Source organism: Homo sapiens, chromosome 13 (assembly GCF_000001405.40).
Source record: "Homo sapiens chromosome 13, GRCh38.p14 Primary Assembly".
Taxonomy (NCBI): Eukaryota; Metazoa; Chordata; class Mammalia; order Primates; family Hominidae; genus Homo; species Homo sapiens.
In genome coordinates, this window is record NC_000013.11 from 75,236,305 (window position 1) to 75,253,301 (window position 16,997).

The 16,997-nt window shown below is 39.2% G+C and overlaps 1 long non-coding RNA gene and 1 pseudogene across 2 annotated transcripts; one reads left to right on the forward strand and one right to left on the reverse strand.

Annotated features, from left to right (window-relative positions):
* Positions 1 to 1,448: 1,448 nt before the first annotated feature.
* On the reverse strand, positions 1,449 to 4,077 carry CTAGE11P (CTAGE family member 11, pseudogene; annotated as a pseudogene). Its single transcript, NR_027466.1, has one exon. The product of NR_027466.1 is annotated as a CTAGE family member 11, pseudogene (transcript).
* Positions 4,078 to 4,283: 206 nt separating this feature from the next.
* LINC01078 (long intergenic non-protein coding RNA 1078) lies at positions 4,284 to 15,708 on the forward strand. Its single transcript, NR_132375.1, has 3 exons — positions 4,284 to 4,338; positions 14,177 to 14,297; positions 15,444 to 15,708. It is a non-coding gene; the product is annotated as a long intergenic non-protein coding RNA 1078 (long non-coding RNA).
* Positions 15,709 to 16,997: the final 1,289 nt, after the last annotated feature.

Here is a 16,997-nt window from a genome sequence, read left to right on the forward strand (position 1 = left end):
TTTATTTTCATGCATTTTAGCCACCACAAACAAATGATTTATACTCAGAAGATAGGAATATCCAGAAAACAGATATTCTAAGATTTCAATTTACTCATTGAGTTTTAATCAGAAGTATAAATCATTTATTAACCAAACAACTGCACATTAAGCATCTTTTTTTAGAATTTTTTTAGAATTCTATTTTATTTTATTTTAAGTTTCAGGATACACATGCAGTACGTGCAGGTTTGTTACATAGGTAAATGTGTGCCATGGTGGTTTGCTGCACCTATCAACCCATCACCTAGGTATTAAGCCCCACATGCATTAGCTATTAATCATGACCCTCTCCCTCTCCCCACCTTCCCTGACAGGCCCCCCAGTGTGTGTGTTCCCCTCCCTGTGTCCACGTGTTCTCATTGTTCAGCTCCCACTTATAAGTGAGAATATGTGGTGTGCTAGATGGTGGCCTGATCACTGGGGATACAGCAGTAACAGGTGCATATAAATTGTTCTGCTGATACTTTTGTTCTATGGGGATACAGATAATCCTCCAAAACAAATAAATGTATAACGTAACTGATAAAGAAATACAGAGCAAGTAAAGAGACACAGAGAGCAACATATGTTAGGTCAGGTATTCAGAGGAGTCTTCCCTGATAACGCAACCTTTGAGCAGAGTCATGAATTAATTGAATGAGTCATTGGTTGTCAGCGAAAGCATGTTGCAGAGAGGAGTTGTAGATTCAAAAAAATAACCCCAAGGATTCAAGTGTTTGAAGAACAGCAAGGAAGCCACAGAAGAAGAAATCAGTAAGCAAAAGCTGAAAATGGTAGGAGGTAAGGATGGATAGGCAGCTGGGAGTGAGATTCATAGCCTTATAGGCCATGGCAACACTTACGGACCAGATTCTGATGAGATGGGAATCTTTTCAAGAGATGTGGAGGAGAAGCTTAGAATGATCTGGCTTGCTGCTGAGTTAAAAATAGAAGACAAAAGTTACAGATTGGAAACAGGAAGACTTAAGAGGTTTTGCAATGGTCCACCCAAGAGGTCCTGTTGGACTAATGTCATAACAATGGATTGGTGAGAAACTGTCATATTTAGAATACATTCAAAAGGTAATGTCAACAAGATGTGCTGATGGATTAAACATAGGGTGTGAAGAGAAGAGAAGAGTTGAAAATAATTCTCAGAGTTTTGGCCTGGAGTTATCATTTATTGAAGACTAAGTAAAAAGGCAGTTTGGCAGGAGCATCAAGAATTTGGAAATGTTAAGTAGATATTGGATATTTGAGTCTAGAATTCAGGAAAGAGATTAGGGCTGAGCATATGATATGTATGGAAGTCTTCATCATATGGATAGCATGTAAAACCACGTCCTTTATGAGTGTCTCAAGAGCACGTCTGAGGACTTTCAAATTTATGAAGAAATGTTGTCAATTGACAGCCTGAAAACTCAAACTTGTAGAATAGATATTTTTTATTTTTTATTCATATTTAAACCATCTTTATTTACAAAATACTATCCTGAGAACTACAATTCCATTAAACTTCAATTTGAGAAAAGTGTAATCACTTAAGTAACAGCAGTTACTTAAACTGAAAATGAGATCAGTCAAAATTACTTTTGAAGAAAGCAAAAATATTGTCAGGTTTCTTGCTGTGGTTCTGGATGTTCAGTAGCAGGCTCCTTTAAAGGCAGAATCAACCATGAAGGGAACTCGCTTCTACCTTCAGAATGTGGGGTTGGGGTAAAATCCAGGTCTTGGATGAAAGTAAGGAGGTAAACCCCTCAGTGGACAGATGTTTCTCATTGCAAATGGAACATGTGGTGGACCTGGGAAATCCCTTGGTGGAAAATAACCTTGTGAAGCTCCAAACATCGTTCCTGGAGGAGGTTGGGGGAAAAGAGGTCCTCTTCTCATGAACGGGCACCTTGTGTCCACTGGAAACAATGGACCACTGATTGGAGCAAGAGGTGGAGGAATAAAGCCGGGGCCAGTTGCTTCATTTTCAGCAGGGAGAGATGAATCAGGCACATTTAAACTACCAGGATCATCTTTGGCATCATGTCTAGTGGATTCCATTTCTGAAGGCATTGACCCATCCATTTTATCCAAAGAAGGCATATTAAAACTTCTGAGTTCTGATGGTCCAGGCAGTCTATCAGAATTAGAATAAAATCTGTCTTCCCTTTGTGGAGGAAGAGCTGAATCAGGATATGATTGTCCTGGTGGAGGAAACATCATCCTATGGTCCTGTTCCCATGGAGATGACAGGGACCCAGTGTCAGAAGGAGCTCTGTGAGGATCAGTTAACCTATCACAGCTTGGTTCTCCTCTTTCATTGGTAATCTGATGGTCCAGAGGATTCTCTCGGCCGCTTGGGCTTCTTCCTCCTCCCGCTGGAAGCACAGGTGAGAGTCTGAGTGGATCCTCCAACAAAGTTTGAGGAGAGAGAAGTCCTCGTTTCAGATGAAGGCCGACCCAATGGTGAGGGACCATATGGGGAATGCTCTCTGCCAGATGCTGTATTTGAAACATCAAGTGCATTAGGATCTTTTTCTAAAACTTCAAATTTAAACTCTGTTTCAGTTAATTTTTGTTTGTTGTGAGCATTTTCTTTCCTTAAATCATTGAGGTTTCTTTCAGCAGTCCGAGCTGCCAACCAATTATCATGTCCTTTTTTCTCGTAGGAAATAACCTGCTTTTGATAAAAATGAACAGTTCTCTCCAATTCTTCTTCAAGATCTTTGGCTAGCTTTCTATAGGTCTCCAGCTCTTCAGTGGCATGGCTGATCTTTTCTTCCACTTTAGAAAGCTTCTCTTCTTCCTCTATCCAGTAATTTTCCTCTATTGTCAATTTCCTGTGGAGTGTCATTTCATTTTCTTGATATAATTCAGTCATTATTTTAAGTTTCTGTTGAAGCTTCTGATTCTCACTTTCAAAATATATGTTTTCTGACTGCAAAGATGCTTGTTGAGTCTGAAGATTTTTAATATGCTCTGTAAGCTCTTCCTTTGTTTTGTCCACTTCAGATAACTGAATAATAATGTGGTTTCTTTCTCCTTCTAAGGTTTTTAAAGAAACATTTAACTTAGCAGCATGAATCAGTTTCTTCAAAGCTCCTTTTGGAGGATCATCTAAATAAGCACCATTTTCCGATTGACTGTTCACTTCTAATTCCAAGTTATCATCATCCGTTGTGTCTTCTTCAAGCACAGCAGCCTGATCGTTCATCATTGGCAAGTGTCCAGTCAGGGTCTTGATGTGATTTTATCATTTAGAACTTGTTCTGCATGTACTTTGGAGTCTTCAAATGTTATTTTCTGTTTATTAAGTTCACTCACTTGTTCTTTCCATACTTCAGCTTCTTGCAAAAGCTGTTTCTGGCTTTCGTGAAGTTGAGAATTTTTATTCAAAGCATCTTTTATTGCTATTGCCCATCGTTCTTCAGTCGCTTGAAAAATCTTGCAGATGATTTTGGCTTCAGCTATTTGTGATTTGAGGGATTTTGACTCATCTTCTAGAGATTGTATCCTTTTAGAAATATCCGCCATCAATTCATCTTGTTGAGAATGTTTAGATTTCCCTTAACTCTTTTTCTAGACAGAGGGTTTCATCCTCAAGTTCAGAATTGGACCTGTTCAGCTTTTCACAGGTTGCCTCCAAACTTCGTGCTTCTGCTACCGCCTTCTCAAAGCTGGCATCCTCTAAAGATGACTCTACTTCATAGCCTTCATACTCTTTTTGAATAAGGCTAAATTTTTCAAGTAGTTTACATTTTTCTTCAATTAGTCCAGAAAGCGTTTCACCAAGTTTTTTCTCTCTTCCCACATAAAGCCGACTCCTAACCGATCTAAAACTTCTCCACAAAAAAAGGAGAACAACAAAAAATCCAACAACAGCTGCACATACCACCAGTTCCCATGGAAAACCATAAGGATTCGAATCTGCCGTCATACTCTCAGGTAGTGCTGCCACAACTCTGCGTAGCTCCTCCAGGACCAGCCCCAGGTAGGGCTGAGGGGTAGCACCGGGCTCCTCCATAGCGCGAAGGCTGCTCTGGCGGTCACCACAGTAACACTGGCCACAACAAACGGTGGAGAACACGCAGCCTTGGGTCTGGAACCCGAATCCGCACGCGGCAACCAACCGGAGCGGACCACTGCGGAGCCGGCTGCGGGGGGAGCTGGGGAACGCGGGCACCCACAGGCTTCACAGGCCCATACTGCATCCCCAACCCTCCCTGGCCCCCTTGTTACACTTTACATCCTGAGGCAGCGCTGGTCCCAGCCCGACCCGCTTCAGTTCTGGCAGTTTTCACATCACATATTTTGAAGCACTTTTTGGTGAATACACTTTTGAAATTGCTGTCTTCTTCATGGATTAAACCTTTGATCATTATATAATCTCTCTGTTTCTGGTAATTTTCTTTGCTTTATCTGATATACATACAGGCACTGTTGCTTTCCTTTCATTAATGTTTGTGTAATGTATCTTTTTTCATCCTTTTAATTTGGCCTCCCCTGTATTGGTAAATTTCAAGTTTCTTGTACACAGCATACAAGAAACATATAAGAAAGGGTCATACTTTTAAATACACTCTTCTATTATCTGTCCCTTGGTAGACCATTCATAATTAAACTAATTGTTGATACTTTAGTGCATAAGCCTGACATTTTTTGTTTTCTGTATCAATTCTTGTTTCTCTGCTTATTTTTCATGACTTCCTGTGGGTCACTTGAACATTTGTTTTAGAATTCCATGTTGTTATTCATAGTGTTTATAGTGTATCTTCTTTTTAACAGTTTTTTTGGTTGCATTTTATAGCTTAGTGGTTGCATTTTATTATTATTATTATTATTATTATTATTATACTTTAAGTTTTAGGGTACATGTGCACAACGTGCAGGTTTGTTACATATGTATACACGTGCCATGTTGGTGTGCTACACCCATTAACTCGTCATTTAGCATTAGGTATATCTCCTAATGTTATTCCTCCCCCCTCCCCCCATGCCACAACAGTCCCCGGTGTGTGATGTTCCCCTTCCTGTGTCCATGTATTCTCATTGTTCAATTCCCACCCATGAGTGAGAACATGCGGTGTTTGGTTTTTTTGTCCTTGCGATAGTTTGCTGAGAATGATGGTTTCCAACTTCATCCATGTCCATACAAAGGACATGAAGTCATCCTTTTTTATGGCTGCAAAGTATTCCATGGTGTATATGTGCCACATTTTCTTAATCCAGTCTATCATTGATGGACATTTGGGTTGGTTCCAAGTCTTTGCTATTGTGAATAGTGCCGCAATAAACATACATGTGCATGTGTCTTTATAGCAGCATGATTTATAGTCCTTTGGGTATATACCCAGTAATGGGATGGTTGGGTCAAATGGTATTTCTAGTTCTAGATCCCTGAGGAATCGCCACACTGACTTCCACAATGGTTGAACTAGTTTACAGTCCCACCAACAGTGTAAAAGTGTTCCTATTTCTCCACATCCTCTCCAGCACCTGTTGTTTCCTGACTTTTTAATGATCATTCTAACTGGTGTGAGATGGTATCTCATTGTGGTTTCGATTTGCATTTCTCTGATGGCCAGTGATGATGAGCATTTTTTCATGTGTTTTTTGGCTGCATAAATGTCTTCTTTTGAGAAGTGTCTGTTCATATCCTTTGCCCACTTTTTGATGGGGTTGTTTGTTTTTTTCTTGTAAATTTGTTTGAGTTCATTGTAGATTCTGGATATTAGCCCTTTGTCAGATGAGTAGATTGCAAAAATTTTCTCCCATTCTGTAGGTTGCCTGTTCACTCTGATGGTGGTTTCTTTTGCTGTGCAGAAGCTCTTTAGCTTAATTAGATCCCATTTGTCGATTTTGCTTTTGTTGCCATTGCTTTTGGTGTTTTAGACATGAAGTCCTTGCCTATGCCTGTGTCCTGAATGGTATTGCCTAGGTTTTCTTCTATGGTTTTTATGGTTTTAGGTCTAATGTTTAAGTCTTTAATCCATCTTGAATTAATTTTTGTATAAGGTGTAAGGAAGGGATCCAGTTTTAGCTTTCTACATATGGCTAGCCAGTTTTCCCAGCACCATTTATTAAATAGGGAATCCTTTCCCCATTGCTTGTTTTTCTCAGGTTTGTCAAAGATCAGATAGTTGTAGATATGCGGCATTATTTCTGAGGGCTCTGTTCTGTTCCATTGGTCTATATCTCTGTTTTGGTACAAGTACCATGCTGTTTTGGTTACTGTAGCCTTGTAGTATAGTTTGAAGTCAGGTAGCGTGATGCCTCCAGCTTTTTTCTTTTGGCTTAGGATTGACTTGGCAATGCGGGCCCTTTTTTGGTTCCATATGAACTTTAAAATAGTTTTTTCCAATTCTGTGAAGAAAGTCATTGATAGCTTGATGTGGATGGCATTGAATCTATAAATTACCTTGGGCAGTATGGCCATTTTTACGATATAGATTCTTTCTACCCATGAGCATGGAATGTTCTTCCATTTGTTTGTATCCTCTTTTATTTCATTGAGCAGTGGTTTGTAGTTCTCCTTGAAAAGATCCCTTACATCCCTTGTAAGTTGGATTCCTAGGTATTTTATTCTCTTTGAAGCAATTGTGAATGAGAGTTCACTCATGATTTGGCTCTCTGTTTGTCTGTTATTGGTGTATAAGAATGCTTGTGATTTTTGCACATTGATTTTGTATCCTGAGACTTCGCTGAAGTTGCCTATCAGCTTAAGGAGATTTTGGGCTGAGACGATGGGGTTTTCTAGATATACAATAATGTCATCTGCAAACAGGGACGATTTGACTTCCTCTTTTCCTAATTGAATGCCCTTTATTTCCTTCTCCTGACTGATTGCCCTGGCCAGAACTTCCAACACTATGTTGAATAGGAGTGGTGAGAGAGGGCATCCCAGTCTTGTGCCAGTTTTCAAAGGGAATGCTTCCAGTTTTTCTCCATTCAGTATGATACTGGCTGTGGATTTGTCATAGATAGCTCTTATTATTTTGAGATACGTCCCATCAATACCTAATTTATTGAGAGTTTTTAGCATGAAGGTTGTTGAATTTTGTCAAAGGCCTTTTCTGCATCTGTTGAGATAATCATGTGGTTTTTGTCGTTGGTTCTGTTTATATGCTGGATTACGTTTATTGATTTGCGTATGTTGAACCAGCCTTGCATCCCAGGGATGAAGCCCACTTGATCATGGTGGATAAGCTTTTTGATGTGTTGCTGGATTCGGTTTGCTAGTATTTTATTGACGATTTTTGCATCGATCTTCATCAAGGATATTGGTCTAAGATTCTATTTTTTTGTTGTATCTCTGCCAGGCTTTGGTATCAGGATGATGCTGGCCTCATAAAATGAGTTAGGGAGGATTCCCTCTTTTTCTATTGATTGGAATAGTTTCAGAAGGAATGGTACCAGCTCCTGCTTGTACCTCTGGTAGAATTCGGTTGTGAATCTGTCTGGTCCTGGACTTTTTTTAGTTGGTAAGCTATTAATTATTGCCTCAATTTCAGAGCCCGTTATTGGTCTATTCAGAGATTGAACTTCTTCCTGGTTTAGTCTTGGGAGAGTGTATGTGTCGAGGAATTTATCCATTTCTTCTAGATTTTCTAGTTTATTTGCATAGAGGTGTTTGTACTATTCTCTGATGGTAGTTTGTATTTCTGTGGGATCAGCGGTGATATCCCCTTTGTCATTTTTTATTGCATCTATTTGATTCTTCTCTCTTTTCTTCTTTATTAGTCTCGCTAGCGGTCTATCAATTTTGTTGATCTTTTCAAAAAACCAGCTCCTGGATTCATTGATTTTTTGAAGGGTTTTTTGTGTCTCTATTTCCTTCAGTTCTGCTCTGATCTTAGTTATTGTTTGTCTTCTGCTAGCTTTTGAATGTGTTTGCTCTTGCTTCTCTAGTTCTTTTAATTGTGATGTTAGGGTGTCAATTTTAGGTCTTTCCTGCTTTCTCTTGTGGGCATTTAGTGCTATAAACTTCCCTCTACACACTGCTTTGAATGTGTCCCAGAGATTCTGGTATGTTGTATCTTTGTTCTTGCTGGTTTCAAAGAACATCTTTATTTCTGCCTTCATTTTGTTAGGTACCCAATAGTCATTCAGGAGCAGATTGTTCAGTTTCCATGTAGTTGAGCAGTTTTGAGTGAGTTTCTTAATCCTGAGTTCTAGTTTGATTGCCCTGTGGTCTGAGAGACAGTTTGTTATAATTTCTGTTCTTTTACATTTGCTGAGGAGTGCTTTACTTCCAACTATGTGGTCAATTTTGGAATAGGTGTGGTGTGGTGCTGAAAAGAATGTATATTCTGTTGATTTGGGGTGGAGAGTTCTGTAGATGTCTATTAGGTCCACTTGGTACAGAGCTGAGTTCAATTCCTGGATATCCTTGTTAACTTTCTGTCTCGTTGATCTGCCTAATGTTGACAGTGGGGTGTTAAAGTCTCCCATTATTATTGTGTGGGAGTCTAAGTCTCTTTGTAGGACACTAAGAACTTGCTTTATGAATCTGGGTGCTCCTGTATTGGGTGCATATATATTTAGGATAGTTAGTTCTTCTTGTTGAATTGATCCCTTTACCATTATGTAATGGCCTTCTTTGTCTCTTTTGATCTTTGTTGGTTGAAAGTCTGTTTTATCCGAGACTACGATTGCAACCCCTGCCTTTTTTTGTTTTCCATTTGCTTGGTAGATCTTCCTCCATCCCTTTATTTTGAGCCTATGTGTGTCTCTGCACGTGAGATGGGTTTCCTGAATACAGCACACTGATGGGTCTTGACTCTTTATCCAATTTGCCAGTCTGTGCCTTTTAATTGGAGCATTTAGCCCATTTACATTTAAGGTTAGTATTGTTATGTGTGAATTTGATCCTGTCATTATGATGTTAGCTGGTTATTTTGCTCATTAGTTGATGCAGTTTCTTCCTAGCCTTGATGGTCTTTACAATTTGGCATGTTTTTGCAGTGGCTGGTACTGGTTGTTCCTTTCCATGTTTAGTGCTTCCTTCAGGAGCTCTTTTAGGGCAGGCCTGGTGGTGATAAAATCTCTCAGCATTTGCTTGTCTGTAAAGTATTTTATTTCTCCTTCACTTATGAAGCTTAGTTTGGCTGGATATGAAATTCTGGGTTGAAAATTCTTTTCTTTAAGAATGTTGAATATTGGCCCCCCACTCTCTTCTGGCTTGTAGAGTTTCTGCCAGGAGATCCGCTGTTAGTCTGATGGGATTCCCTTTGTGGGTAACCCGACCTTTCTCTCTGGCTGCTCTTAACATTTTTCCCTTCATTTCAACTTTGGTGAATCTGACAATTATGTGTCTTGGAGTTGCTCTTCTCGAGAAGTATCTTTGTGGTGTTCTCTGTATTTCCTGAATTTGAATGTTGGCCTGCCTTGCTAGATTGAGGAATTTCTCCTGGATAATATCCTGCAGAGTGTTTTCCAACTTGGTTCCACTCTCTCCGTCATTTTCAGGTACACCAATTATACTTAGATTTGGTCTTCTCACATAGACCCATATTTCTTGGAGGCTTTTTCATTTCTTTTTATTCTTTTTTCTCTAAACTTTTCTTCACGCTTCATTTCATTCATATTTCATTCATTTCATCTTCCATCGCTGATACCCTTTCTTCCAGTTGATCGCATCAGTTACTGAGGCTTGTGCATTTGTCACATAGTTCTCGTGCCATGGTTTTCAGCTCCATCAGGTCCTTTAAGGACTTCTCTGCATTGGTTGTTCTAGTTATCCATTCATCTAATTTTTTTCCAAAGTTTTTAACTTCTTTGCCATTGGTTCGAACTTCCTCCTTTAGCTCGGAGTAGTTTGATCTTCTGAAGGCTTCCTCTCTCAACTCGTCAAAGTCATTCTCTGTCCAGCTTTGTTCTGTTGCTGGTGAAGAGCTGCGTTCCTTTGGAGGAGGAGAGGTGCTCTGATTTTTAGAGTTTCCGGTTTTTCTGCTCTGTTTTTTCCCCATCTTTGTGGTTTTATCTACCTTTGGTCTTTGATGATGGTGACGTACAGATTGGTTTTTGGTGTGGATGTCCTTTCTGTTAGTTAGTTTTCCTTCTAACAGTCAGGACCCTCAGCTGCAGGTCTGTTGGAGTTTCCTGGAGGTCCACTCCAGACCCTATTTGCCTGGGTATCAGCAGCAGTGGCTGCAGAACAGCAGATATTGGTGAACTGCAAATCCTGCTGCCTGATCGTTCCTTTGGAAGTTTTGTCTCAGAGGAGTACCTGGCCATGTGACGTGTCAGTCTGCCCCTACTGGGGGGTGCCTCCCAGTTAGGCTACTCGGGAGTCAGGGACCCACTTGAGCAGACAGTCTGACCATTCTCAGATCTCAAGCTGCGTGCTGGGGGAACCACTACTTTCTTCAAAGCTGTCAGACAGGGACATTTAAGTCTGCAGAGGTTATTGCTGTCTTTTGTTTGTCTGTGCCCTGCCCCCAGAGGTGGAGCTTACAGAGGCAGGCAGGCCTCCTTGAGCTGTGGTGGGCTCCACCCAGTTTGAGCTTCCCGAGCGCTTTGTTTACCTACTCAAGCCTGAGCAATGGTGGGCGCCCCTCCCCCAGCCTCGCTGCAGCCTTGCAGTTCAATCTCAGACTGCTGTGCTAGCAATGAGTGAGGCTCCGTGGGCATAGGACCCTCCGAGCCATGCGCGGGATATAATCTCCTGGTGTGCCGTTTGTTAAGCCTTTTGGAAAAGTGCAGTATTAGGGTGGGAGTGACCCAATTTTCCAGGTGCCATCTGTCACCCATTTCTTCTTTGACTAGGACAGGGAATTCCCTGACCCCTTGCACTTCCCGGGTGAGGCGATGCCTCGTCCTGCCTCGGCTCACACACGGTGCGCTGCACCCACTGTCCTGTACCCACTGTCTGGCACTCCCCAGTGAGATGAACCCGGTACCTCAGTTGGAAATGCAGAAATCACCTGTCTTCTGCGTCAATCACGCTGTGAGCTGTAGACTGGAGCTGTTCCTATTTGGCCATCTTGGCTCCACCCCAGAATAGATATTTTTTAATCTTGTATATCTGTCAAAACATTTTCAACAGGATAAGAAAAAAAATGGTTTCTGTCATGATAAATAATGCTTCAGCTTGGTGAGGTTAAAAATCCAGATTTACTGAAATTTTAAAATAAGAGACTGACATTTCCCTCATTTCTTTCTACCACTGTATAATAGATATTTAAAATATTTCTGCTTAGTTTTCTGAAGCAGGCTCTATGACAAGTGTTGCAGATACAGTTGTTAAAATCACTCATTAAATATGTGCAAACTATTAATCATTGTCAGTTAATAGAATCATTAAAACAAATAGAAGGCAATAGATTAAAGACCTTGTGTTCTTTGTGAATGCTGTTTGTTTGGGTTGTGGAAGCATTTTACAAAACTTTATTGTACTGTTAATTTCCATTAAAATAATTACTTGGGAGGCCATTAGCTGAGGTAGCTCCAGTGTAAACAGTCATATTCTTAAAAAAAATGAAATTTGACCAGGCACGGTGGCTCACGCCTGTAATCCCAGGACTTTGGGAGGCTGAGGCGGGTGGATCACAAGCTCAGGAGATCGAGACCATCCTGGCTAACAAGGGGAAACCCCGTCTCTACTAAAAATACAAAAAAATTAGCCAGGAGTGGTGGCAGGTGCCTGTAGTCCCAGCTACTCGGGAGGCTGAGGCAGGAGAATGGCATGAACCTGGGGGGCAGAGCTTTCAGTGAGCCGAGATTGCACCACTGCACTCCAGCCTGGGAGAGAGAGCAAGGCTCGTCTCAAAAAAAATAAATCAACAAAATGAAATTTAAGTGTAACCAACCAGAAACTGCCAACTAATTTCCAACTAGGACTGTCCACTGGCATGTTCCAAATGAGGCTACTGCTATACTTTAACCAATCAAATAATTTATTTGCTTTGCGTCCATGATTACCCTATAGCAGCTTTCCCTCAAATACCTCAGTCCCTGGATCCCTTCTGGTTTAAAGCTGTCTGCTGCATGATTTGCTGTTTGCTCATATAAACTCTTTAATATTTTAATATGCCTCAATTTACTTGTTAATACTCCTATTCAAGATTTTCTTGAAACAAAGGGAATATTTGCCAAATATTCAAAAATCAAAGACAAAAGGGGCAATATGATTTATGATTTCTCACAGATCTCACACTGCATGTGAATGAGCTAAATGTGAACTATTGAGAAAAGGGAAAGCTTATTTGTGACTTAGACAGACAAGTACAGACATTTATATTGAAATCTAAATTTTTCATAATACATGTAAATAATTATTTTACTCATTTTTCTAGCATGAATCAATATACACAAGATTTTAACAGCAATTTATAATGTTATATAAACTGGCTGTAAGACCACAAGAAAAATATTGATTAATTTAAAGTTGTTTTTCAATTTATGTATACCCCCTTTGAATTCAATGTTAACACTATATTGACACCAGAGTTAGTAAATTTACTTAACTTACACAGGTATAGTTTTGAAATTCATACTTGGCTTCAAAGTCAAATTAATTCTTCTCAAAACATGAACTGGTTTTATCAATGTGAATGTGAATATAAGAGGAAAATTATGTTTTGATACTCAATTTAGTTATTGGAATATTTTAAGTATGTTTGGAAAATCTTGGATGTGTGGCTCTACTTTTCAACCAGAAATGTTATGAAATCTGGATACAGATCAAGTACTGACAATAAATATTCTGCATTTAGCATTCACATTGAGATGAGTATAAATATATGCCAGATTTCAGACTTAGTAAGAAATAGAGAATGTAAAATAACTCATTAATACTTTTTATGTTGATTACATGGTGAAATGATGTTATTTTGGCTATACTGGATTAACTAAGATACATATATATATATATATATATAAATGGAGTCTCGCTCTGTTGCCCAGGCTAGAATGTAGTGGCTCCATCTCGGCACACCGCAACCTCTGCCTCTAGGTTCAAGCGATTCTCCTGCCTCAGCCTCCCTAGTAGCTGGGATTACAGGCATACACCACCACACCTGGCTAATTTTTTTGTACTTTTAGTAGAAACGGGGTTTCACTGTGTTGGCCAGGCTGGTCTTGAACTCCTGACCTCAGGTGATCCACCCACCTCAGCCCCCTAAAGTGCTGGGATTACAGACGTGAGCCACCACGCCTGGCCTAAAATATATTATTAAAATTGACTTTACATGTTCCTTTTTACTCTTGTTAATACGACTACTAGAACATTTAAAATCACATTAGTTGGCCCGAGATATGGGTGGCAGTGAGTGAGCTTGTGCATTGGAAGCTAGGAGCAGCCAGAAGATTGCTCTGTATCCAACCAGATGTGAAATGTTTAAATAAGAACACCTCCAAGCATGAGATGTATCTGAAGTGTCTTTTTTTTTTAATCCAATAGACATTCACTTTCAGTTGAGACCTTAAGTGGGAAGGGATGCTTCCCACCCAGAAAGATCAAACTCATCTGCTGGCATTAAACTTAATAGATTTGGCAGAGAGGATGCAGGTGAAAAAGAACACAGATACTAGGCATTCAGATTAAAGAGAGACAAAAAGCATATCCCCAATATTTTATAGTAAAGCAGGTGGCCTGTCTTTTACAAGGCATTCTATAAAGAAGTTAATGCACTTAAACAAGACTTAGTATCTAGATATTTGTATACCTTGAACAAGTACATGAAGAAAGTCCAACTTTCCACATGTTGTACACACAAACCCTGAAGCAGCCAGTCTAGTATAGATTGTGATGAATCTATAGAACAGGATCTACAAAGTCAGAAACAAAAGGACAATGGCCCAGGCCAGAAGCCTGGCAATTCTACTAGGTATACTAGCTAAGTATTGCCAGCACTCATTGAGTGAGAAAGAATTGGAAGTTAATATTCAAACTCACTGCATATTTTATGTAGTTATTATCTGTAAAGTAAAAAAAAAAATAGAGAGATCTCATCCAATAATATGAGTTAATGGATTCATGACTTAACATTTTAACTTTTTTTATAAAAGTCTAATTTAAACAACCTATCTAGGGACATTTTCAGAAAGATACAGGGACTGAGTTGAGTCTCTCCACTAAGAAAATATGCTAGTGCCACAATAGGAGAAAAACAAAGGAACAGTCCCTCTTCAATAATTCTGTTTGATTCCTGTTTCTGTCTAGATGTGTTACAACTTGTCCACATACCTTCACAAATCAGAAAAGAACTAAATAGGATTATATCAACATTTGCACTCTATGTACCTATTCTGAAGAATAACACAGGAAAGAGATTACTTGGAAGGTATATTTAAATACTTAATTTCCTCAATCGAGTTACAAGAGAAATGGACTGAGAATTAGGTCTCTGGGCTTGAGTCTATCAGTGATGGGGATTACTTCACTTTTCTGGAATTTCTTTTCTCATTTTCTTAAACATATGACTATGAAATGTATGGCTGTCCGCCAGAGAATCCTATCAGACAGAACCCCCGAGATATTTCCATATATATATATATATTCTTACCTCTGGGAGATTCTTACCTGCCATAATTGGGAGAAGATGGGGTTGATCAAGAAGAGGAGGTCTGTCATGTGGCTTTTGACACCGCGCCCCTCGTCCACCCCATCCTCCACCACAGTTCCCAGCCAGTTTAGAACCGCTGGACTAGATAAATCACCAGGGTTCTTTCCAACTAAAACAATCTCTGATTCTATGACTCATTGAATCATGAAATAATCTAATAGATGTGACCTAATACAAGGGATCTCTTGCCTCTGAATTCCATGACATTTGACCACAAATAGCCTATAGAGGATAATGAAGTTTCTGTGGCTGAGCACTCCCACCTCCCTGCAAAGAAACCTTTGCACCCTCCCTTTAACTTACTCAAAGCAGTTTCAAATAGGAACCAGAATCAAATTAGAAAAGTAACCTAGCAGACAGAAATGTGCCACGCATTTGCAGAATAGGAATATAGAAAGTAGGAAAAGCTGTTTTTACTATGAAATTTGTAAAAGCAACTCACTTCCATTCTGGAATCTTCTTCCTAATGAAATCATTTTTCTCATCCGCCCAGCTGTGCAGGAAGTGTGAGTTATCACAGTTCCCACTGTTGTAACTCCAGTCCCACGAAGTCAGAGGAGTAAATGAGCTGCTCCCTCACCATTTTGAACTGATATAGGGGATTTCATATTTTAGTCAATCAAGAGCACATTCCGCATATGTTGTCTTTCTCAAATGTTTGGATATCTTTTTTTTCTTTTTTTTTTCTTTTTTTTTTGAGGCAGGGTCTCACTATGTCACACAGGCTAGAGTGTAGTGGTGCGATCTCAGCTCAATGCAGCCTCAGCCTCCTGGGCTCAAGTAATCCTCCCACCTCAGCCTCCTGAATAGCTGGGACTACACATACAACCATACCCAGCTAATTCTGTTTTTATTTTTTTGTAGAGACAAGATCTTTCTATGTTGCCCAGACTGGTCTGAAACTCCTGGACTCAAAACATATGAATATCCAGCCCTGGAAGCTAAAAACAAGCTTTGTGCCCAAAAAAAGTTTATATTTTTGATTTTTCTACAACTAAATGGAACAGGGTTTAACTGAGAACAGTTTTCAAACACAAGTCTTAGAGAAGATAAGGATTACAGGCGTGAGCCACCGTGCTCTGCTGGACATCATTTAGCATATATGACAAGGTAACTGACGAAGGACAATTCAACCAAAAAATGATTAAAAGCGTTCCTCTAGTCTACTTTGCATTGAAAGAGCAAAGTGTTGCTCTAGGATTATTCTGTTTTGATGATATGTTTTGAGATTAAAGCAACATTAAAATCATATTTATAAATGTTAACATATATGAAGGAGATTGCCTGAGAGATTTTGCCAGCCTTCCTGAAAAAACGCCAATGGATGAGCTATCCATCTTAGAAAATTTTAGGTTAACATAAAATGGTATGTAAGCACAAATGGAGGCAACACTTTGGTTCTATTTCTACAATAAAAGTTTTAGAATTACTTTTCTATTTTTATATGCTTTATAAAAAATAAATTACACAATAGAGGGTAAAATAGAATTTAAACTTATATGTATGCAAAGCACCATAAACAAAACTAAGTAAAAAACCCAGAGCAAATGTCTTTAGATTGTATGCATCATCTGTTACTAGCACTCTCGTTTTACAAAGTAAGCAAACAGGGCAGGTAAATAGACATTTTTATAAACTCATTTATAATTGGCTTGAAGTAACAGAGGATGAAACCTATAGACAATGTCATGTTTTATTTTCAAAGATAAATTCCAGCTCTCTCATGTGCAGCTGATATTTTTTACTCTAAAGCTATGAACTTATTTACTTTATATTTCTTTATTTTACTAACTCTTAGCATTTTATTTTTCAAATAGCATGTATCTATTGAGAAAAATAAGAGAAAAATAAAGTTATATTTTACAATATTATTGCCCAGAAATGGTTGGTTACTATTAACACTTTCTGTTGACTTGATAAAGAGAATGCATGTGAAGAAGAAATTTTAAAATGAACATTGAATCCAAGAACTCTTGAATCTATGGATGGACATAACAAGGCACCTTGGAGCAGACTTTATTTTGTTCAGGCAAGAGTCGCTTAACTGGCTCCTCTTAGTTACACAAAAGTAAGACTAGCAGGCACTATTACCTGGGGAAAAGATAGAACCTGATGAACCCTGACAAAGTCTCCCTATATTTCTTGATAAGCAGAGGTAGCATTTGTGGAGAAGGTGGACAAATTTGCATAAGAGTCTAGAAGCCTCCTGAGGAAAAAAAAAAAAAAAGGTGAGTCTGATCTTTTCCCTTTTTGAAGTTCAACATTATTAGAATATTTGGGATGGTCTTGACAGTGGCCTGATGGTAGGAAAGGACACCAAGTACCCAAAGTAGAGTCCCTCAGAAGGGTGGAAATCTGGGGTACTTTATTCTTTCAAAGTAAAGATCTGAAGTCTGGGAAAAGGGATTGGCCCAGCAC